This window comes from Homo sapiens, chromosome 7, assembly GCF_000001405.40.
Source record: "Homo sapiens chromosome 7, GRCh38.p14 Primary Assembly".
Lineage (NCBI taxonomy): Eukaryota > Metazoa > Chordata > Mammalia > Primates > Hominidae > Homo > Homo sapiens.
In genome coordinates, this window is record NC_000007.14 from 68,278,883 (window position 1) to 68,302,067 (window position 23,185).

At 41.1% G+C, this 23,185-nt stretch overlaps 1 long non-coding RNA gene across 3 annotated transcripts in view, besides 1 other annotated feature; it reads right to left on the bottom strand.

The window, feature by feature from the left end:
- The window catches only part of LOC105375341 (uncharacterized), a 170,147-nt gene that overhangs the window by 129,335 nt on the left and 17,627 nt on the right, over positions 1-23,185 (bottom strand). For all 3 annotated transcript variants that reach the window (NR_187905.1, NR_187906.1, NR_187907.1), the window contains exon 2: positions 9,173-9,351. This is a non-coding gene — a long non-coding RNA (uncharacterized LOC105375341). The remainder of the gene's footprint in view (positions 1-9,172; positions 9,352-23,185) is intronic.
- Positions 10,341-10,892: an enhancer, noted in NCBI's record as "NANOG hESC enhancer chr7:67754210-67754761 (GRCh37/hg19 assembly coordinates)". NCBI's record gives its function as "activates a minimal SCP1, AML or CMV promoter by ChIP-STARR-seq in naive H9 embryonic stem cells {active_cell/tissue: H9 hESC(naive)}" and the evidence as "EXISTENCE:reporter gene assay evidence [ECO:0000049][PMID:30033119]".

Genomic DNA, 23,185 nt, shown 5'->3' on the forward strand with positions numbered 1-23,185 from the left:
AGCCACCGCGCCCGGCTTTTAAAATTAATTTTAACGCTTTAACATGAAATCAGTTTATCTTTTGTCACTGGGTCCCGATTTAAGAGAAAAAGTAGTTACTTATTTCTACCTTTCTCCACTTTATGAAATAAATCTATTTCATGGCAAAGATTTCCCTCTTGTCCTCACATCTTTTATCCTCAAATCTTTTTTTTTTTTTTTTTTTGAGACACAGAATTTCACTTTTCTTGCCCAGGATGGAGTGCAGTGGTGTGATCTTGTGAGGCTCACCGCAACCTCTGCCTCCCAAGTTCAAGCAATTCTCCTGCCTCAGCCTCCACAGCAGCTGGGATTACAGGCGTGCACCACCATACCCGGCTAATTTTGTATTTTTAGTAGAAACGGGGTTTCACCATGTTGGCCAGGCTGGTCTCAAACTCCTGACCTCAGATGATCTGCCTGCCTCGGCCTCCCAAACTGCTGAGATTACCAACGTGAGCCACCGCGCCCGGCTGTCCTCAAATCTTACATAATTTGAGGAGAGATTTCAAGGTATCTGACTGCATGTATCTGACACTCACCTCTTCCACGGAGAAGAACCAACATAGTGAGTAGATAATCACACTTCGAACAGATCATCTATGAGAGTCCAGTGGGATTCAACAGAGAAGTGATAAGAAACACCTAGGCCGGGCACGGTGGCTCATGCCTGTAACCCTAGCACTTTGGGAGGTCGAGATGGGCGGATTGCCTGAACTCAGGTGTTTGAGACCAGCCTGGGCAACATGGTGAAATCCGGTCTCCACTAAAATACAAAAAAAATTAGCCGAGTGTGTTGGTAGGTGCCTGTATTCCCAGCTACGCGGGAGGCTGAGGCACGAGAATTGCTTGAACCCAGGAGGCGGAGGTTGCCGTGAGCCAAGACCGTGCCACTGCACTCCAGCCTGGGCAACAAAGTGAAACTCTGTCCAAAAAAACAAAAAAAACAAAAAAAAAAACACCTAAAGCAAGGAAAGAGAGGGAAGTGAGGCAGCATGTTTGTCTCAGATTGACAGGAGCCTGGCAAGGATAAATGGGAGACGCCCCCGCCCCCCAACCCGTTGTTCCACGCTCCTACCACAGGCTCCTGAGTCCTCCCCACAGGAGAGCCCCTCCAGCCTTGCAGGCCCTGAGAAAACAGAGAGAGCTGCCCGGAGATGGCATGACAGCTTTGCTCCAGAGAGGGAGCTCACCCTGAGTCCCCCACCCATCCCCAAGCCCTAAGCAGCTACAGCACGTTGCCATTTTGGGAGCCAAACCCCCACCAGACTGCATCCTGCCTTGGAGCCCAACAGCCCCTGCGAGTCCACATCCATGGAGCCTCATGACATCACCTTCACAGCTGGCTGCTGCCACCAGGGCCAAAGTACATATCATTGGCAGCAACCTTCCTGCTCCCAACATCAAAGCCTCCATGCATTCTCACACGTTTCGAGGACAGAATCCCCCACCCAGAGCTGCTGCCACGGGCAGAGCCAAAGTGTGAACAACAGGCAGTGACCCCACTGCCTCAGCGTTGAAGTTGACACACATTTATAAGCACCCCAAGGAAAAGACAATCCATCCACAGCTGCCATCTAGGGCCAAAGCACGTGTTCCAGCTGCCTGCCTATGGCTGCTGCCACTGAAAGCTATGCTGTCATGCCCAGTAGCAGGGCTACAGTACAGTAGCCCAGCCACTGTGCCTCCACCCAAGCATTTTACCAGGAGCCTGATGATCACCCTGCCCCTGCCTATCACAGCCAACACCTGCACACACCACTGGGGACTTGAGGACAGGTTCGTACAGTCCAGCTCCACACCCTCCTGTGCCCAAACATGCTGTCTGGGGGCCTAGTGATCACCCAACTTTGTCCATCACCATTGGCACCTGAGCATTCCTTTCAGCGATCTAAAGTTGGGCCCATCCAACCTGTCACTGCCACTATTGCCGGCATCCACCCTTATGTGCCACCTGCAAGCCTGGGGGCTGGCTCATGCAATCCATAGCAGCCACTGCCAACACCAGTGTGGACCAATGGGAACCAGAGGATTGTTCTACCATTGCTGCTTCTGTCATTCATGCCATGCTTGCTCCCAGGGGCCTGAGGACCCGCCCAACTGCCTGGCTCACTGCTGTCAATATCAACTTCCAAGAAAGCTTCCTGGAGGCCCCAAAATCAGCCTCCCTAGACTCACTAACACCAGCGCCAGTGTGCACCACATTAGGACCCAAGAACAGGCGTGTTCAGAGTACTGCAGCCACCACTGGAGCCTGAGGACTGACTCATCTTGCATTCCTGTCACCAGAAACACTTTACAGCCTCCACTAATAAGCACACCTGAAGCCACTGAGAAAACCACAGATGCCACTGATGCTGTTTACAGCTGAAAAAATCATAGGGAAACTACATACTGCATACACTTAGAATTAAAGCCAAAGTGGGCCAGGTGCGGTGGCTCACACCTGTAATCCTGGCACTTTGGGAGGCCGAGGTGGGTGGATCACCTGAGGTATAGAGTTTGAGACCAGGGGAGTTTGAGACCAGCCTGGCCAACATAGAGAAACCCCATCTCTACTAAAAATACAAAAATTATCTGGGTGTGGTGGTGCACACCTGTAATCTCAGCTACTTGGGAGGCTGAGGCAGGAGAATCGCTTGAATCCAGGAGGCAGAGGTTGCAGTGAGCTGAGATTGTGCCACTGTACACATTGTGCCAGGGTGACAGAAAGAGACTCTGTCTCAAAAAAAAAAAAAAAAAAAAAAAATTAAAGCCAAAGTGCACTACTCAACCAACATCAGAGATACATCTTCAGGAAAAATTCCTTACCTATGAAAGCAAATTTAAAAATTGGAAGAAGCAACTATTACACCAGATGTACAGATATCAACATAAGTGCACAAAAACATGAAAAAGCAAGGAAATATGATACCTCCAAAGGAACTCAATAGTTCTCCAGCAACAGATTCCAGGGAAAAAGAAATGTATAATATCCTGGAGAAATAATTTAAAATAATGATATTAAAGAAGCTCAGGGAGATACAAAAGGACATAGATAATACAAAAAATTAGAAAAACAATTCAGAATATAAATGAAATATTTACCAACGATATAGTTATAATAAAAAAGAACCAAACAGAAATACTGAAACTGAATAATTTATTGAAGGGAATGCAACATAAACATTTGAAAACTTTGGCAATAGTCTACATCAAGCAGAAGAAAGAATTTCAGAACTTGAAGACAGGCCTTCTGAAATAACACAGCCAGACAAAAGTAAAGAAGAATAAAGTAGAATGAATAAAGCTTCTGTGACATATGGGACACCATAAAGTGATCATATATTTGAAATTTTAGTATCCCAGAAGTTGAAGAGTAAACAAAATGGATAGAAAACTTAATTAACCAAATAATAACTGAAAATTCCCAAGCCTAGCAAGACATTTAGACATCCAGACATAAGAAGCTCAAGAATCCCCAAATACACACAATTCAAAAATACCTTCTTTATGGCACATTATAGTGACACTGTCAAATGTCAAGAAAAACAAGATAATCCTAAAAACAGCAAGAGAAAAGTGTCTAGCCACTAATAAGGGAACCCCCATCAGACTAACAGTAAATTTCTTAGCAGAAACCTTATAAGCCAGGAGAGACTGCGATGACATATTGAAAGCGCTGAAAGAAAAAAAAAATTTACCAGCCAAGGATACTTACTATACTCAGTGAAGATAGCAAAGATACCCTTCACAAATGAAAATGAAATAATATCTTTCTCAGACAAGAAAAAGCTGAGAAAATTCATCACCACTAGACCAGTTCAACAAAAAATGCTTAAGGGAATCCTACACATATAAGTGAAAGGATCATATCTACCTTCATGAAAACACATGAAAATATGCAATCCACTGATAAAGCAAACCTACAAATAGGGAAAAGAAAAAACTCAAATGTTACCACTACAGAAAACCACCAAACCACAATGATAAATAATAAGAGAGAAAGAAAAGGACCAAGGATATACAAAACAACCACAACTCAGTTAATAAAATGACAGAAACAAGCCCTCACATATCAATAATCACCTTGAATATAAATGAATTGAACTTTCCACTTCAAAGATATAAAAAAGGATTTTTTTTTAAAAAAACGACCCAACTATATGCTGACTACAAGAAACTCATCTTATCCGTAAAGTCACATATAGACTGAAAGAAAAGGAATGGAAAACTATATTCCATGGAAACGGAATCTAAGATTAAGCAGAAGTAGCTATACATTAAGTATACTTTAAAACGTACTTTAAGTCAAAAACGGTAATAAGAGACAAAAAAGTCATTATACAATGATAAAAGGATTAATTCAGTAAGAGGATATAAAAATTCTAAACATACATGAATACAACACTAAAACACCCAGATATTTAAAGCAAATATTATTAAGTTGAAAAGGATAGACTCCAATACTATAATAGTCAGATACTCCAACATCCCACTTTCAGTAGTAATCAGGTCACCTAGACAGGAAATTAACAAAGATTTATTGGATTTAAACTGCACTTTAGAACAAATGGACCTCAAAGACATTTACAGAACATTTTATCCGACAGGTACAGAATACACATTCTTCTCATCAGTACATGGAACATTCTCTAGGACAGATTATATGTTGAAACACAAAACAAGTCTCAACCATAAAAAAAATTGAAATCATGTCAAGTATCTGTTCAGACAATGGAATACATCAAAATCAATAACACGAGGAACTCTGAAAACTGAAAAAAATACATGAAAATTAAACAACATGAAAATCAAAACACAACACACCAAAATCTATGGGATACAACAAATGCAATTCTAAGAGGGAATTTTATACCAATTAGCATCTACATCAAAAAAGTAGAAAGATTTCAAATAGACAATCTGATGACGTACCTTGAGGAACTAGGAAAGCAATAATAAACCAGATTCAAAATTGGTAGAAGAGAAAAAATGATAAAGATCAGAGCAGAACTAAACAAAATGGAGACTAAAAAAGTTACAAATGGTCAATGAAACAAAAAATTGTTTTTTGAGAAGATAAACAAAATCAATAAACTGCTACCCAACTAACCAAGAAAATAAAAGCAAAGACTCAAATTTTTAAAAATCAGAAAAAAAACCAGGAGGCATTGCAACTGGTACCACAGAAATACAAAAAATCATCGGAGACTTATGAACAAGTATACATTAACAAACTAGAAGATCTAGAGGAAATACATACACTCCTGAACATATTCAACATATCAATATTGAACTGGGAAGAAATAGAAACCTGAACAAACCAATAATCAGAATAATCAGATTGACTCAGCAATAAAAAGACTCCCAAAAAAAGAAAAGTCCAGGACTGATGGCTTCATTGAATAATTCTATCAACCTTACAAAGAACTAACACCAATTCTCCCTATTCCAAAAAAAATGGAGAGAAGGGGATTCTCCCCATTCATTCTATGAGACTAGTATTACCCTGATGTCAAAACCGGGCAAGGATGCAATGAAGAAAAGAAAAATACAAGCCAACATCCCTTTTGAACATAGACACAAAACTCCTCAACAAAATACTAGCAAACTGAATGCAACAGTACATCAAAAAGATAGTACACCATGATCAAGCGGGATTTATCCCAGGGATGCAAAAATGTTTTGACATACACAAATAACTAAATGTAATACATCACATCAGTAGGACAAAGGACAAAAACCACATGATCATCTCCATAGATGCAGAAAAAGAATTTGATAAAATTCAACATTTCTTCATGATGAAAACTCTTAACAAACAAGGCACAGAAGGAAATACCTAACATAATAAAAGCCGTATATGACAAATCCATGGCTGATATTATACTGCTTGGGGAAAAGCTAAAAATCTTTCCTCTAAGAACTGAAACTAGACAAGAATACACATTTTCACTACTCTTATTCAACATACTACTGGAATTCCTAGACAGAGCAATCAGGCAAGAGAAAGCAATAAAAAGTATGCAAATTGGAAACAAAGAAATTAAATTGTCCTTCACAGATGACATGATCTTACCTCTACAAAAACTTAAAGACTCCACCAACAAACTCTTAGATCTGATAATTAAATTCAGTAATGTTGCAGGATGTAAAACCAACATACAAAAATCAGTAGCATTTCTATACATCAATAATGAACTAGCTGAGAAAGAAACCAAGAAGGTAATTCCATTTACATATCTACCAAAAAAAACCCTTCCGAGTAATATATTTAACTAATGAGATGAAAGAGCTCTACAAGTAAAACTATAATACAAAATGCCAATGAAAAATTTGAAGAGGATGCAAACAAATGGAAAGACATCTCATGTTTATGAATTGGAATAATTAATATCATTAAAATGGCTATACTGCCCAAAGCAATCTATAGATTCAAAACAATCCCTATCAAAATATCAATGCCACTTTTCTTAGAAATAGAAAAGCAATTCTAAAGTTCATGTGGAACCAAAAAAGAGCCTAAGTAGCCAAAGTATTTCTGAGCAAAAATAATAAAGCTAAAGGCATTACACTACCTGACTTTGAAATATATTTCAAGACTATGGTAACCAAAAAAGCATGGTACACATCAATGGAACAGAATAGAGAACACAGAAATAAACCTATGTATTTACAGCCAACTGATTTTTGACAAAGTCAACGAAAACAGGCACTAGGGAAAGAACATGGTCTTCAATAAATGGTGCTGGGAAAATTGGATATCCATAGGCAGATGAATGAAACTGGACCCCTATCTTTCACCATATACAAAAATCAACTCAAGATAGATTAATGACTTAAAAGTGAGACACTGGACACAGTGTCTCACGACTATAATCTCAAAACTTTGGGAGGCCAAGGTAGGAAGATCACTTGAAGCCAGGAGTTTGATACCAGCCTGGGCAAATAACAAGAACCCAACTCTACAAAAAAAAATTAATAAAAGTAAGACTCAAAACTATAAAAATACTAGAAGAAAACATAGGGGAGATACTCCAGGACATTGTTCTGGGCAAATTCTATGAAAAAGGTGATGGCTAAGGAAACAATCAACAGAGTGAAGAGACAATCTACAAAATGGGCAAAAATATTTGCAAACTATGAATCTGACAAGGGATTAATATCCAGAATATATAAGGAACTCAAACACCACAACAGCAAAAAAACAAAAACAAAAACAAAACAAAACACAAATAATATGGCTGATTTAAAAATCAGTAAAAGATCTAAACAGAGATTTCTCAAATGAAGACACACAAGTGGCCAATAAGTTCATGAGAACATGCTCACCATCACTAACCATTAGGGAAAGGCAAATCAAAACCAAAGTGAGATATCACTCACCCTGGTTAAAATGTCTATCATAAAAAATAAACAAAATAAGAAGTGCTAGCAAGGATGCAGAGAAAGGGAAACTCTTATATACTATTGAAGGGAATGCAAAACTACACTTACGAGCAACAGTAAGGAGGTTTCTCAGAAAATTAAAAATAGAACTATCATATTATCCAACAATCCTACTAGTGTGTATATATCCAAAGGAAATGAAATCAGTATGTTGAAGAGATAATGCAGTCCCATGTTCATTGTAGCATTATTCACTCTAACCAAGCTATGGAATCAACGTAAGTGTCCACCAATGGCTGACTGGATAAAGAAAATGTTGCATATGTGCATAATGGAATACTATTCAGCCATAAAAAAGATGAAATCCTGTTATTTGTAACAACATGAATGAACCTAGAAAACAATTACGTTAATGAAATAGGCCAAGCACATAAGGACAAATGTTGTATGATCTCACTCATGTGTAGAATCTAAAAAAATATTGATCTCATAGAAGCATATAAAAGAACAGTGGTTACCAGAGACTGGCGAGTGTAGGTGAGGAGAGGGAAAGAAAGAGAAGTTGGTCAATGAGCACAAAGTTACAGTTAGACAGGAGAAATAAATTCTGGTGTGCTGTTGCACAGCAGAGTGACTATAGTGGACAATACTGTATGGTACACTTCAAAGTAACTCGGAGAGAGGATTTTAAATGCTTTTTTTTTTTTTGAGACAGACTCTTGCTTTGTCTCCAGGCTGGAGTGCAGTGGTGCAATCTCGGCTCACTGCAACCTCTGCCTCCTGGGTTCAAGGGATTCTCCTGCCTCAGCCTCCCAAGTAGCTAGAACTACAGGCACGCACCACCAGGCCCAGCTAATTTTTGTATTTTTAGTAGTGACGGGGTTTCACCATGTTGGCCAGGATAGTCTTGATCTCTTGACCATGTGATACCCCTGCCTCAGTTAAGTGTTCTTACTACAAAGAAATGGCAGGCATTTGAGATGATCAATATGCTAACCATTCTGATTTGATCATTACATAATGTACAGCAAACATCACACTACATCTCATAAATATATATAATTATTATGTGACAATGAAAAACAAAATAAAACTTATTACAAAAAAGGAGTATGATTTGACTGCCACCCCTGTCCCCGACTTATTTCTCCTGGTGCCTTATACCTGGTTTATCTCCTCTCCTGCTGGTGTTGGTTGTTTCTAGCAGTTGTGGCTGCTGCAGCTGGAGGTGGGCTTGCCTGGGCAGAGGTAGGAATATCTATAGGCATCCCTGGAGGCAGTATCTGACTTCATCCAGAGGTTCCAGAAACTGGACACTGAGCTACAATTCATTGTCCTAATATCCCCCACTGGGAACCAGCTGGAGAGGTAGTATGTATACCCTTCTATCCCAAATAGCCCCTTCTCCATTCTGTCAACTTTCTCTTATTCCAGCCCTCTGACATCCTTTCTTTAGATGCCCTAGAGCAAACCACTTCAAAGAGACTCCAGGGAGAAAGAAGACATCCACACTACATTGATTAATTGGCTTTAAATGAAAAATAACAAATCACTATCCTTAAAGTGAACTTACATAGATAAGTCTTATCTTAACAACAACAGAAAAAGATTTACTTCTTTTCTCGGTCAAATGAAGATTGACTTCCTCATTTTCTCAAAGGGACCTTTAATTAAAACTGATTTGAGCAAAGGATGGGAGCAAATGTTTACTGATTTCCCACTCTGTGCCAGACATTGTGTTAAGCTCTTATGTAATCCCATCCCATGGGGTATGTGTTTTTACCTCCAGTTTATGGGTGAGGAAACTGAGGCCCAGAGAAGGTCAATGACTTGGCCTTGTTCATCCAGATGGCGATTGAAGGGGAAGGAATTGAGACTTTGCTGGGCTTGGCTCCAAAACAAAGACTGCTTCCAGGCCATTATGCTGTAGATCTCTGGTACAGGATGATCTATAGGGCAGACCTGGCAAAATAAATATGTTACATCGTAAACATCAGACAAGTCAGATATTTGTCAAAGCAAACAAATTCTAATGTGAGGTGAAACAGGAGAGATCCTCTTGTCTCTGAATCTCCATACTACCCTTGAGTGAACAAAGTAATTATTGGTTGAGGCAAAATCATGGCATCTGTATAACTCATTAGCTCTTATTTGTTTAAAGTCTGATGGTGTATGACAAAAGAATTTGTTCCAGATGTCAAATCAGCACAATAGAGCCTAACAGTCTGTGTTAGAAAAGCTCCAATGCAGAAGACTCAGGAGGCTACCGAGGCAAAAAGAGCAGCTGGTCAAAACCGGTAGAACCTCTCGGAGAGTCCCCACCTCCGGTCCAGGGAAATCGCCACATCCCACCCACCCCTCAATCCAAGTTCTGTCCCTCCTCAGCCATCAATTATTTGCCTATGACTCTGAATGTTAATGCTTTTTCCATTCTCTGAAGTTAAGGTATTTAAAAGGATTATTAAGGTACATACTCTTTAGCGTTTGATGCTGGAAAAACATCTTATCTGAAAAAAATATGTATACATGAGGACTAAGCTCTGATTTTTTTTCTTGCCCAAATTCCTATCCAAGGGGTCTGGAGAGTCATGGCCTACAAACCATAAATTCTCATCAGATGGGTTTTATTTTACATTTTTATTTTATTTATTTATGTATTTATTTTTTTGAGACGGAGTCTGTCGCCTAGGCTACAGTGCAGTGGCGCAATCTCGGCTCACTGCAAGCTCCACCTCCTGGGTTCACGCCATTCTCCCGCCTCAGCCTCCGGAGTAGCTGGGACTACAGGCACCTGCCACCACGCCCGGCTAATTTTTTGTATTTTGTTAGTGGAGGCAGGGTTTCACCGTGTTAGCCAGGATGGTCTCCATCTCCTGACCTCGTGATCCGCCCGCCTCGGCCTCCCAAAGTGCTGGGATTACAGGCGTGAGCCACTGCGCCCGGCCCAGATGGGTTTTATTTAACCCTATATTTTGTGACTTACTTTCTAATCTAACTCTGGCATAACATTATGTGACAAAGAAGAAAGTCAAAATATTTTACCCCAAAATACGTTTCTTTGCCATATCTTGAAATGGCCCTGCAAAGCTGTCCTTTGTGGGCAAAAACTTGCATCTGTAAAGAATCTCTATCAACATAGCTAGATCTTTTTGTTACAGGCCCTCTCAATCCTAAAGACATTAACTAAGAGTCTAGCACCTTTTGATGATCTGAATAGGAAACATTTGTCATCTATTGTCTCTAAGGGCAGCCACTATAACACTTCAAAAGAACCTTGGTCTCCACAATCTTTTACCTTAACCTGGACATTTCTTTTGTATGGATCCCAGGTCTTTAGACAAACTCAACCAATTGTCAACCAGGAAATGTTTAAATTTTCCTATAGCCTGGAAGCCCTTGCTTGGAGTTTTCCCGCCTTCCTGAATGTATTCCTTAAATGTATTTGATTGATGTCTCATGCCTCCTAAAAATGTATAAAACCAAGGTGTACCCTGACTACCTTGGACACATGTTCTCAGGACCTCCTGAGTGCTGTGTCATGAGCCATAGTCACTCACATTTGGCTCAAATCAAATCTCTTCAAATATTTTACAGAGCTTGACTCTTTTTGATGACATACATATGTCTATATTTTTTAATTGCGTAAGTTAAATGACCAAATTCAGTATGTTTTGCTCACTGCTTGTCAGAAAGCTCAGTGCCCACTTTTCTACTCAAGTGCAAAGTGCAGCATTGCCTAATTTCCTCATAAAATTATATGCTGTATTAGGGTTTCTCAGAAAAACAGAGATTATATATAATCTCTGCTGTTGCAAAGGTTTTATTTTAAGAGCTACCACGGTTATCTGAACTTGGCTGTTGCATAGAATTTATTCTAAGACCTAAACTCTCCATATATATTTGGAGCACTTTGCATTGTTTTGCAAATAATTATAAAATTATGAAAATTGGTTTATGTGATTATGGAGGCCAGGAAGTCCAATGATCTGTTACCTGTAAGCTGGAGAACCAGGAAAGCTGATGGTGTAACTTTCAGTCCAAGGACAAAGGTCTGAGAACCAGGGCAGGGGTTAGGGGACAGGCTGGTATAAGTCCTGGAGTCCAAAGACCCAAGAATCAGTAGCTCCAATGTTCAAGGGCAGGAAAAGATGGATGTCCCAGCTCCAGAAAAGAAAAATAATTAGCCCTCCCTCAGCCTTTTCGTTCTATCTGGACCCTCAATGGATTGGTTGGTATTCACCCACGTTACTCTTTTTTTTTGAGATGGAGTTTTGTTCTTGTAGCCCAGGCTGGAGTGCAATGGCGTGATCTCGGCTCACTGCAACCTCCGCCTCCGGGGTTCAAGCAATTTCCCTGCCTCAGACTCCTGAGTAGCTGGGATTACAGGTGCATGCCACCACACCCAGAAAATCTTTGTATTTTTAGTAGAGACGGGGTTTCATCATGTTGTCCAGTCTGGTCTCGAACTCCTGACCTCAGGTGATCCACCCGTCTTGGCCTCTCAAAGTGCTGGGATTACAGGCATGAGCCACCGCACTCGGCCTTTTCCCACATTACTAAGAGCAGCTCTTTTTCACTCAGTCTACTGATTCAAATGCTAATCTCCTCCAGAAACACCCTCACAGACACCCCCAGAGAAAATGTTTTGCTAGTTGTATGGGTATCCCTTAACCTAGTCAAGTTGACATATACAATTAACTCTCACTTATGCCCACCCTGTTATATGTCTTCTTTTATCACTATTTAAGTTTTCCTCTATTGTTTGTATGAATTGTTATTCCTTTTATCCTAGTTTATTGTTTCCTTAGTAATTATGACCACCTGGCATATTATTTATTTGTAAATCAGTTTGTTATCTATCTTCTAACTTAAATGTAAAACCCCAAACTATAAAAATCCTGGAAGAAAACCTAGGCAGTATCATCCTGGACCTAGGAATGGGCAAATATTTCATGACAAAGACATCAAAAGCAATCACAATGAAAACAAAAATTGGCAAGTGGGATCTAATTAAACTTAAGAGCTTCTGCACAGCAAAAGAAACTATCAACAGAGTAAACAGACAACCTACAGAATGGGAGACAATATTTGCAAACTATGTATCTGACAAAGATCTAATATCCAGCATCTATAAGGAATTTAAACAAATTTACAAGAGAAACCACCCCATTGAAAAGTGGGCAAAGGACATGAACAGACATTTTTCAAAAGAAGACATACATGCGGTCAAGAAGCATTTAAAAAAAGCTCAATATCACTGATCATTTGAGAAATGCAAATCAAAACCACAATGAGATACCATCTGAAACCAATCAGATTATTAAAATGTCAAAAAATAACAGATGCTGGCAAGGTTGTGGAGAAAAGGGAACACTTACACACTGTTGGTAGAAGTATAAATTAGTTCAACAATTGTGGAAAGCAGTGTGGCAATTCCTCAAAGAGCTAAAAGCTGAACTACCATTCAACCCAGCAATCCCATTACTGGGTATATACCCAGAGGAATATAGATCTTTCTACCATAAAGACACATGCATGCAAATGTTTGTTGCAGCACTGTTTACAATAGCAAAGACATGTTATCAACCTAAATGCCCATCAATGACAAATTGGATAAAGAAAATGTGGTATATATACACCAGGGAATACTATGCAGCCATAAAAAAGAATGAGCTCATGTTATTTGCAGGAACATGGATGAAGCTGGAGGCCATTACCCAGGAACAGTAAACCAAATACTGCAGGTTCTCACTTGTAAGTAGGAGATTAATGTTGAGAACCCATGAACACAAAGAGAAGAACAACAGACACTGGGGTCTCCTTGAGGGTAGCAGGTGGGAGGAGGGAGAGGAGTAGAAAAGATAGCTATTGGGTACTGAGCTTAATATCCAAGTGATGTAATAATCTGCCAAACAAACCCTTGAGACACGAGTTTACCTGTGTAACAAACTTTCACATGTACTCCCGAACCAAAAAAAATTTTTTTAAAAAGAATTCCCATTAAAAGTATGCAAGGTGGAGACAACCATACACCTCACATTCATAAGCCTTAGAAGTAAGAAAGGAAAGTCAAGACGTGGGTAGCATTTGAGCAATCATGATCCTTTCCAATATTCTTCCTTGGGAGATTAGAAAACCATCTATCCGGCCGTGCACGGTGGCTCATGCCTGTAATCTCAGCACTTTGGGAGGCCGAGGTGGGTGGATCACCTGAGGTCAAGAGATCACAACCATCCTGGCCAACATATTGAAACCCAGTCTCTACTAAAAATAAAAAAATTAGCTGGGCGTGGTGATGTGCACCTGTAGTCCCAGTTACTACGGAGGCTGAGGCAGGAGAATCACTTGAACCCGGGAGGCGGAGGTTGCAGCGAGCCGAGATCGTGCTACTGCACTGTAACCTGGGTGACAGAGCAAGACTCCATCTCAAAAAAAAAGGAAAGAAAAAGAAAACCATCCATCTGTTATTAAACCATTGTAACCTATACACATGCTTGATATCTGTGGCCATAGAATGATGGTCATTCCAGCTTTACTGGTTGCAATTGCTCAGGATCCTCTGATCTTTTTCTCCCGTTACAGCTCATCTAGTTTCCTCCCCCTTTATTTTAATTTTGTCCATTTTTTTACTTTCACCATAGCTCTTCTTTAGACTTTGTGTCCTTTCAGCTTGTTGACTTGATTTCCTTGCTTGACGCTGTTTTCTCTACGAAGAACTTGGGAGAGAAATTAACCATTTGACCAGCTTACTCTTGAGTGTTGCCTATAAAACTCCTGAATTTTTTACCCCAGGAGTCCTCTGAGAAGGAAGGCTTGGTGTGTGTGCAATATTCACAACCCTACCCGCATTGACCTGCACTCACCAAGTCCCTGGGAACCTGAACTTCTCAGTTCTCTCCTTTTTCTGCCTGGGTCCAGCATGGTTGGGGAGGCCCTTTGGCAGCTATTAAAGTGTTTCTGGTATTAGTGACAGTGCCATTCATCTGTCACCAGCTTTATGACTTGATTGTGTGATTTCTGTTTTGTAAGTTTTCTTCTTTCTCCATAACTACCTTAATTTGGCCAAAACAAGAAGGGATATTCTATGAACTACATTCTCAGCCTATTAATAACTCATGTAAGGGTGCCCACATTTTTCTGCGAATAAATAGTTACCTATACTAAAGAAATTAAGACAAGTTGCCAAGACTAGGCTGAACAACCATTCTATGACCAACCCCTATTTATTGTTTTCTGCTATTGACATGGGCCAAGTCTTCAATCTTCTCCTCCCCTTGGGTTGGCACAGCTTCAGCCATCATTTCGAAAGCCCTCACTGGCACTTAGAATGTTTAGTAGATCCTCTTTAAAATAAAACAACTTTCTCTAATTTTCCATAGTTATAGGGTGACATGATCCATCCCTCACCAATATCAAATATGAAATAATGCCCTTATTGTGTGACACATACAAGCATTGATCCTTCATTTTTGTGCTTTGTTCTCCCTCATCTGTGAGGGCTGTCTTTCTGACAGGAATATGAGATCCTCAAAGACAGACAATGTTTCTTAACATTCCTGCATTTTCAAATAACCTAGAACAGTGCATCTTACATGGGGAGTGATTGATAAATATTTGTCATTGGAAATAGATATTCACTTTTATTTTATTTTATTTTGAGACAGAGTCTTGCTGTGTTACCCATGCTGGAGCGCAGTGGCATGATCTCAGCTCACTGCAATCTCTGCCTCCTCAGTTCAAGTGATTCTCGTGCCTCAGCCTCCCTAGTAGCTGGGATTACAGGTGTGCGCCACCACGCCTGGCTAATTTTGTATTTTTAGAAGGGCAGGTTTTGCCATGTTGGTCAGGCTGGTCTCAAACTCCTGATCTCAAGTGACCCACTCACCTTGGCCTCCCAAAGTGCTGGGATTACAGGCATGAGCCACCAGGCCTGGCCAATATTCACTTTTAGATTCATTAATTACCTTTGTATCTTTTTGGAACTGGCACTAAGAGAAGAATGGGATACACATAATTTTAGGATAAAGTGTTATCCTAAACTCAACTTGGGTCCACCCACCCAGTGCAGCAAAGCCATCAGGACTGGGCATCAGAATTGCAGCAAGAGAAAGTGAAGCATTTATTTGCAGGGTGCTGAGCAAGGAGACTAGGGCAGCTCATTCTTAAGACCTGAACTCCTACCTGGCTTACAGGTAAGAAATTTTAAAGGCAAGGAAGCAGAGGTAACAGGAAAGTTATTAATCAATATGTGAATGCCATACATTGGTTTGACCTAAAAAAAGACGGGACATCTCAAAGAGGGCGCCCACAGGTCGTACGGATTCAAAGATTTTCTGATTTGTGATTGGTTAAGGAGGTAAAGTCTTGTCTAAAATTCTGTGGTCAGCAACGAAGACTACTAACTCTGGCCCACAGTGTGACCCCTCCAGACCCCTCAAAAAAGAAATTCAGGGGCAAAGGAGGTGGTTAAAGTTCAGTCCTCAGTTTCTCTTTATCTGACATCTATTTGATGGGGGTGTAGGTTTTTAAAAAACAACTCAGGGATATGTGTTAAGACGTTTCTTTAGTTTCTATAGGGAACCAAACTCTAACTTCCTTGGCTATTGTTTTAAGCTACTGTCTTCTTGCTTATCAAGTTGCTCACTTAATCTTCAAGGTTAGCTAGGTGCCTGGGACTTCCCTTGGGGAAATCAAGATTTTCCTTTATTTTTATGCTTGGGAGTGAGGGGTGTCCAACAGGCCCCTAAGAGAGGATTTCTGCTCTGTCTTAAGTGGAACCCCTCTAAGCAGTCACCCCAACATTCTAGAGCAGAGGTCCCCAATCTTTTTGGCACCAGGGACTGGTTTTGTCAAACACAATATTTCTATGAACTAGGGGTAAGGATGGTTTTGGGATAATTCAAGTGCATTATGATTACTGTGCACTTTATTTCTATTATTAATACATTGTAGTATGTAACAAAATAATTATACAACTCACTATCATGTGGAATCAGTGGCAGCTGTGAGTTCGTTTTCCTCCCATTTGGGGGTGATGGGAAACCGTGACAGATCATCAGGCATTAGATTCTCATCAGGGGTGCGCAACCTAGATACCTCACGTGCACAGTTCACAATAGGGTTCATGCTCCTGTGAGAATCTAATGCCATCACTGATCTGACAGGAAGCAGAGCTCAGGCAGTAATGAGACTGGTGTGGTGCAGCTGAAAATACAGATGAAGCTTCCCTTGCCTGCCACTCACTTCCTGCTGTGCAGCCCGGTTCCTAACAGGCCACGGAGGATCGGTTGCAGTCTATGGCCCGGGGGTTGGGGACCCCTGTGTTAGAGGATTCCATGGCTTTCAGTTTCAGTCTTGTTGGAGCTGCCTGCATTATTATATCTTCCCAGCCCAGGCATTCACTGATAGAAGAAGATGTTGCCCTCCAGCTAGGTCTGCTCAATACCTATTGTTGAACTGAAGTGGTTTGTGTAGCTGACTTGCAGCCTGTCTCCATCAGCTCAAATGCTCACACACGTTTTCCAACCTTAGAGCCTTTTTATTTTCCCTTTCACACCTCCCCTGCTTCTCTTCAATTCTCCAAGCACAGTTATCTGAACTTGGCTATTGCAAAGATTTTATTCTGTGTCTTCAGGATATCTGTGCTGCTTCAATCAGTCCGAACCTCCTTTGTCCAAGGCTGACCCTCCCTGCTCTCCAACCCCTCCTCTCAATTCTCTTCCCTTAACTCCTTCCTTTGCCAATACTATGCATTTCTCAGCCAGGTGAGGCTAAGTGCTATATAGCACACAAACCCCAAGACTCAGTGGCTTAAACCCAGATCACAGCCCAATATGTATTCATGGGGTTGTCAATGGAAAGAGTCAAACTCTAAAATATTTGAAGAGATCTCTTCTGAGCCAAATGTGACTGACCATTGGCCTGTTGACATAGTCCTCAGGAGATCCTCAGAACATGTGCCCAGGGTGGCTGGTCCACAACTAGGTTTCTTAACATTTTAGGGAGATAAGTAAGGCATCAATCATACACAGAAGATGTACATTGATTCAGTCCAGAAAGGCTGAACAAACGGAAGTGGGGGCTTCCAAGTTGCGAGTAGATTCAAAGATTTTTGGATTGGCAGTTGGTTGAAAGAGTTATTATCAATAGAAAGGAATGTCTGGGTTAGGGTTACAGTAGGGGGTTGTGGAGACTGAGGTTTTATGATGTAGATGAAGCCTCCAGGTAGCAGGCTTCAGAGACAATAGATTGCAAATATTTATCAGACTGAAAGAGTCTGTTTTATAAGTAATTCCAAAGGGGCGGCGGGTATAATGAAGCACATCTGGCTCCCCCTTCCCATCATGTCCTGAACTAGTTTTATCAGGTTAACTTTGGAATGCCCTTGTTGGAGAGCAGGGGTCCATTCAGGTGGTTTGGGGAAGACCTTAGAATTTTTTGTTTGTTTGTTTACAGGGTCATTCAAGGACCCACACTCTACTATCCCCTAGAACCCCAGAGTTCTCTACTGGATATTCTGCAGTTGTCTAGAGATCTGAGGGTTAGAGAGGCATGCAGTGTGCATCATTCTGTTCATATTCCATTGTTCAGAACTCAGCCACCGGCACTTTCCACTGCAAGGGAAGCTGGGAGGGTTCTCTTGCTCTGTGCCCAGGAGGAAAAGAAAGTGAGCGTAGAGCAGTCTTTGCCACAATCAAAGTCACAGGATATATTGAACAATACCTTATACTTTTTTTTTTTAACATCCTGGGATTATTTTGTGGTTAGAGGGACTAAGCTAGAGGAAAGAATGGGGTGCATTTAATATTGGAAAGTCAGTTACTTCATAGTTGTAGTGGGTTTATTAGCAGAGATTAACCAAAAGATACAAGTCTTTTGATGATACTCATAGCATTATTTATGCTGTACCATACACTGTTTTCTTTTTGTTTGTTTGTGTTTGTTTTTGTTTTGTTTTTCAAGACGGAGTCTTGCTCTTATTGCCCAGGCTGGAGTGCAGTGGCGCCATCTCTGCTCACTGCAACCTCCGCCTCCCAGGTTCAAGCGATTCTCCTGCATCAGCCTCCCAAGTAGCTTGGATTACAGGTGTGTACCACCAGGCCAGGCTACATTTTTTTTTTGTATCTTTAGTAGAGACGGGGTTTCACCGTGTTGGCCAGTCTGGTCTCGAACTCCTGACCTCAGGTGATCCGCCCACCTTGGCCTTCAAAAGTGCTGGGATTACAGGCATGAGCCACCATGCCCAGCCCATGCACTGTTTTCTAGGCACTTAAATATTATTTCCTTCACAACATTTCTGTGAGATATGTACTACTATTGTTCCCATTTTATAGATGAGCGAACCAAGAAAGAGATAGGTAACTTTCTCAACATCAAGCAGCTAATAAATGGCAGAGCTGAGATTTGAACCCAGTCAGTCTGATTGCCTAGGATTTATGGATATGGCAATTGTGCCTATTCACAGCTGGGATATTCTGCCCTAAAATGGGATGTAGTTAGCCAAGGCATTTTCTTGGAGGCTAAAATATATGTGAGAAGATGTGAGTGTCCCATCCACGAGCACTGAGATATGCTGTATTTTTACAGCCCACGTGTAGGAGGAGCCCATTCTCCTACTTTTCCGTCTCTTTATTTTTAAAATTTATATTATTTGTATTTTGAAAATAGAGATGGGGTCTCAATGTGTTGCTCAGGCTGGTCTCGAACTCCTGGGCTAAAGTGATTTTCCCATCTCAGCCTCTCAAAGTGCTGGCATTACAGACATGAGCTTTTAATTAATTTCATTTAATTAAGATGAAAGGTGCCTAGCCTTTTCAGTCTTTTTCTCACACAAATGGTTACAAAGAACACATGGTGTTTAGCAGTTTGCCCTTTAAATTATATCTGTTGACCCTGAGGGGTATTAAAGGGGAATCAGAATGCTTCACCTTCCAGTTTCTATGCTCTTTCTCCATCTCAGCATTTCAACAATAAGAGATGTTTAATGAGCAACTACTATGTGCCAGCCATTTTTTTTTGGGGGGTACCGAGGATTGGAGAAGATGGAGGCAACATGACAACTAAATGCAATGCATGCTCCTGGATGGCATTTTGGATCCTCAAGGAAAAGAGGCATCATGGAGCAATAAACCAAGCATATCAAGTGCCCACCTCTGTGTGGCCAATAGGTAATTACCTAGTATGATGTTGGCTGCTTATGAGTGCCGCAAAGAAAATAGCTAGAAACAAGGGTAGCCAGGGGCATTCTTTCCTAAGGATATTTAAGCTAAGACATGAATGGCACGAGATAATCCACCCTTTTAAAATGTGGGGTTAGAGGTTGGGTGTGGTAGCTCACACTTGTAATCCTAGCACTTTGGGAGGCCAAGGCAAGAGGATTGCTTGAGGCCAGGAGTTTGAGACCAGCCTGGGGTAACATAGGGAGACCCCATCTCTACAAAAAATAAATAAATAAATAAATAAATTTATACAGGTGTGGTGGTAAATGCCTATAGTCCCAGCTACCTGAGGGGCTCAGGTGCGAGGATCACTTGATCCAGGGAGGTTGAGGCTGCAGTGAGTCATGACTGCACTACTACATTTCAGATTGGGTGACAGAGCAAGACTGTATTAAAACAATGTGGGGTGAGACAATTCAGGGAGGAAGAATAGCATGTTCAAAAACCCTGAGCCAACAAATTCTTCTCTGTTGATAATTATACCATTTTCTTTTTATTTACATTGTCCCCCCCCCTTTTTTTTTGTGAGATAGAGTCTCACTCTGTTGGCCAGGCTGGTGTGCAGTGGCGTGATCTCGGCTCACTGCAACCTCCACTTCCTGGGTTCAAGTGATTCCCCTGCCTCAGCCTCCCAAGTAGCTATGATTACAGGCATGCACCACCACGCCTGGCTAATTTTTGTAGTTTTAGTAGAGGCAGGGTTTCACCATGTTGGCCAGGCTGGTCTTGAACTCCTGACCTCAGGTGATCCACCCGCCTCGGCCTCGCAAAGTGCTGGGATTACAGGTGTGAGCCACTGCGCCCAGCCCATTTTTCACATTTTTAACATTTATATTCTGCTATTTAGAAATACTGTATTTTGAAATTATTACAAATGTATAGAAGTTACAAGTACAGTTCAAGTTATTCCCATAACTGCTTCATCCATATTTCCCAGCTGTTAACCATCTTATTGCATTTTTACATATCTTCCTCCCTCTCTTGTCCCCACTCTCCCTCCCTTGCTCTTATTCTTTCTCTTTTCACACACACACACACACACACACATGCACACACACACACTAGTCTTTTCCTTCACCACTTGAGCTAGCTGTGGGAACAGTATACCTTCACTTGTAAACACTTCCGTGTGCATTCTCTAAAACAAAGATCTCTCATGCAAGCTTCTAAGTCAGGAAGTCAACATTTTCACTATGCTCCCATCCAATCCATTTAGAGCCCATTCAAATTTTACCAACTCTCTCAATGATGTGTCTTTTTCCCTTGGGGTCCAAGATGCCATCTGGGAAAATGTATTGCATCTATTCTAGTTGTCATGTCTCCTAGTGTCCTCCAACCTGGACCAATTCCTTAATCTTTCCTGTCACTTATGTCCCCAACAATTTTAAAGAATACAAGCCTCCTATTCTGTGGGATGACGCTGAGTGTGGGTCCATCTGATGTCTCTCTGTGACCAGACTCAGATCAAGGATTCCTGGTAGGGATGTCACTGACATCATACTGTGTTCTCTGCATTAAGAGTGCACGATGTCAGCCAGGCGCAGTGGCTCACGCCTGTAATCCCAGCACTTTGGGAGGCCAAGGCGGGCGGATTACCTGAGGTCGGGAGTTCAAGACCAGCCTGTCCAACATGGTGAAACCCCGTCTCTACTAAAAATACAAAAATTAGCCTGGCATGGTGGCACACGCCTGTAATCCCAGCTACTTGGGAGGCTGAGGCAGGAGAATTGCTTGAGCCTGGAGGCAGAGGTTGCAGTGAGCTGAGATCGTGCCACTGCACTCCAGCCTGGCCGACAGAGCGAGATTCTGTCTCAAAAAAAAAAAAGAAGTGCACGATGTCAATCTGTACCACCCACCGCTGGTGACACTAATTTCCAGTCACCTGGTCATGCTGGAATCTCCCGGTTTTCTCCACCAGAAGGACACTAGTTTTGCTCTTGCAATTGGTTATTGTTTTGTGGGAGCATATTCTGAGATCATGCCAGCATCCTGTACATCATCAACATACCATCCGCCTGCCTTAGCATGCCTGAATGTGCGACCACAGGTCCACTATGGCCAAAGGCCACTACAATGGTTGCCAAATGGTGACTTTCTATTTTCTTTTCTTTTTTTTTTTTTTTTTTGAGAGACGGAGCCTCGCTCTATCACCCAGGCTTGAGTGCAGTGGTGCGATCTCAGCTTACTACAACCTCTGCCTCTCTAGTTCAAGAGATTCTTCTGCCTCAGCCTCCCAAGTAGCTGGGATTACAGGCACCCACCACCACACCCAGCTAATTTTTGTATTTTTAGTAGAGATAGGGTTTCACCATGTTGGCCAGGCTGGTCTTGAACTCCTGACCTCAGGTGATCCGCCTGCCTCGGCCTCCCAAAGCCCTGGGATTACATACATGAGCCACTGTGCCCAGCCTATTTTCTATTTTCATAAGTTCTGTTACATTTATTAGCTGAACTTTTATTATAAGGAAGAGCTTCTCTTTCGTCCTCTGTTTATTTATATCAGAATGAACCCAGATTCTTTTTTTTTTTTTTTTTTGAGATGGAGTCTCACTCTGTCGCCCAGGCTGCAGTGCAGTGGCACGATCCCAGAGATTCTTATTTTATTGAATGGATTATAATCTAGAACACTTACTGTTTTGAAACCACTTTTTTTCTTTTTTAGTTTAGTCCCACAGTTAAATTGATTCAATGTTTACAGCCAGTCTGTTTACCATAACGTTACCGTTCATTTCTTGGTTGGCTGAAGTTTATCATCTAGTATTTCTTTAACAAGACCCTACGGGATTTACATTCTTTAAATTCTTAGCCACCTTACAATGGTCTTCTTTTTTTTCCTGTAACAGCTTTATTGAGTTATAATTCACATACCATGCAATTCATCCATTTAAAGTGTACAATTCAATGCTTTTTAGTATATCCACAGAGTTGTTCAACTATCAACACATTTTTAGGACTTTTTTATCACTTCCAAAAAGAACCCGTTACCCATAAGCAGTCACTCCTCATTTACCCCAGCCTTCACCTCCCCCCCAAATCTAGATAACAACTAATGTACGGTAACAACAAATGTACTGTACTTTCTGTCTCTACAGATTTGCCTATTCTGGACATTTCATGTAAATGGAATCATACAATATGTGGTCTTTTTGACTGACTTCTTTCACTTAGCACGTTTTCAAGTTTCACAAACGTGGTAGCGTGTATCAGTACTTCATTTATTTGTATGTTAAATAATATTCCATTATATGGATACACCACAGTTTATTTATCCAAAATGTGTATAAAGATTTGGGTTATTTCTACCTTTTTGGCTGTGATAAATAAGGTGATATAAACATTTGTGTACAAGTTTTTGTGTGGACATACACTTTCATTTGTCCTGGATACATACCTTGAAGTGGAACTGCTGGGTCATATGGCAATTCTGTGATTAACATTTTGAGTATCAACCAAATCAACCAAACTGTTTTCCAGAGTGGCTGCACCAGTTTACATTCTTACTAGCAATGCACAAGGTTCCAATCTCTCTCCATCCTTACCAACACTTATTATTATCTCCCTCTTTATTTTATATTATA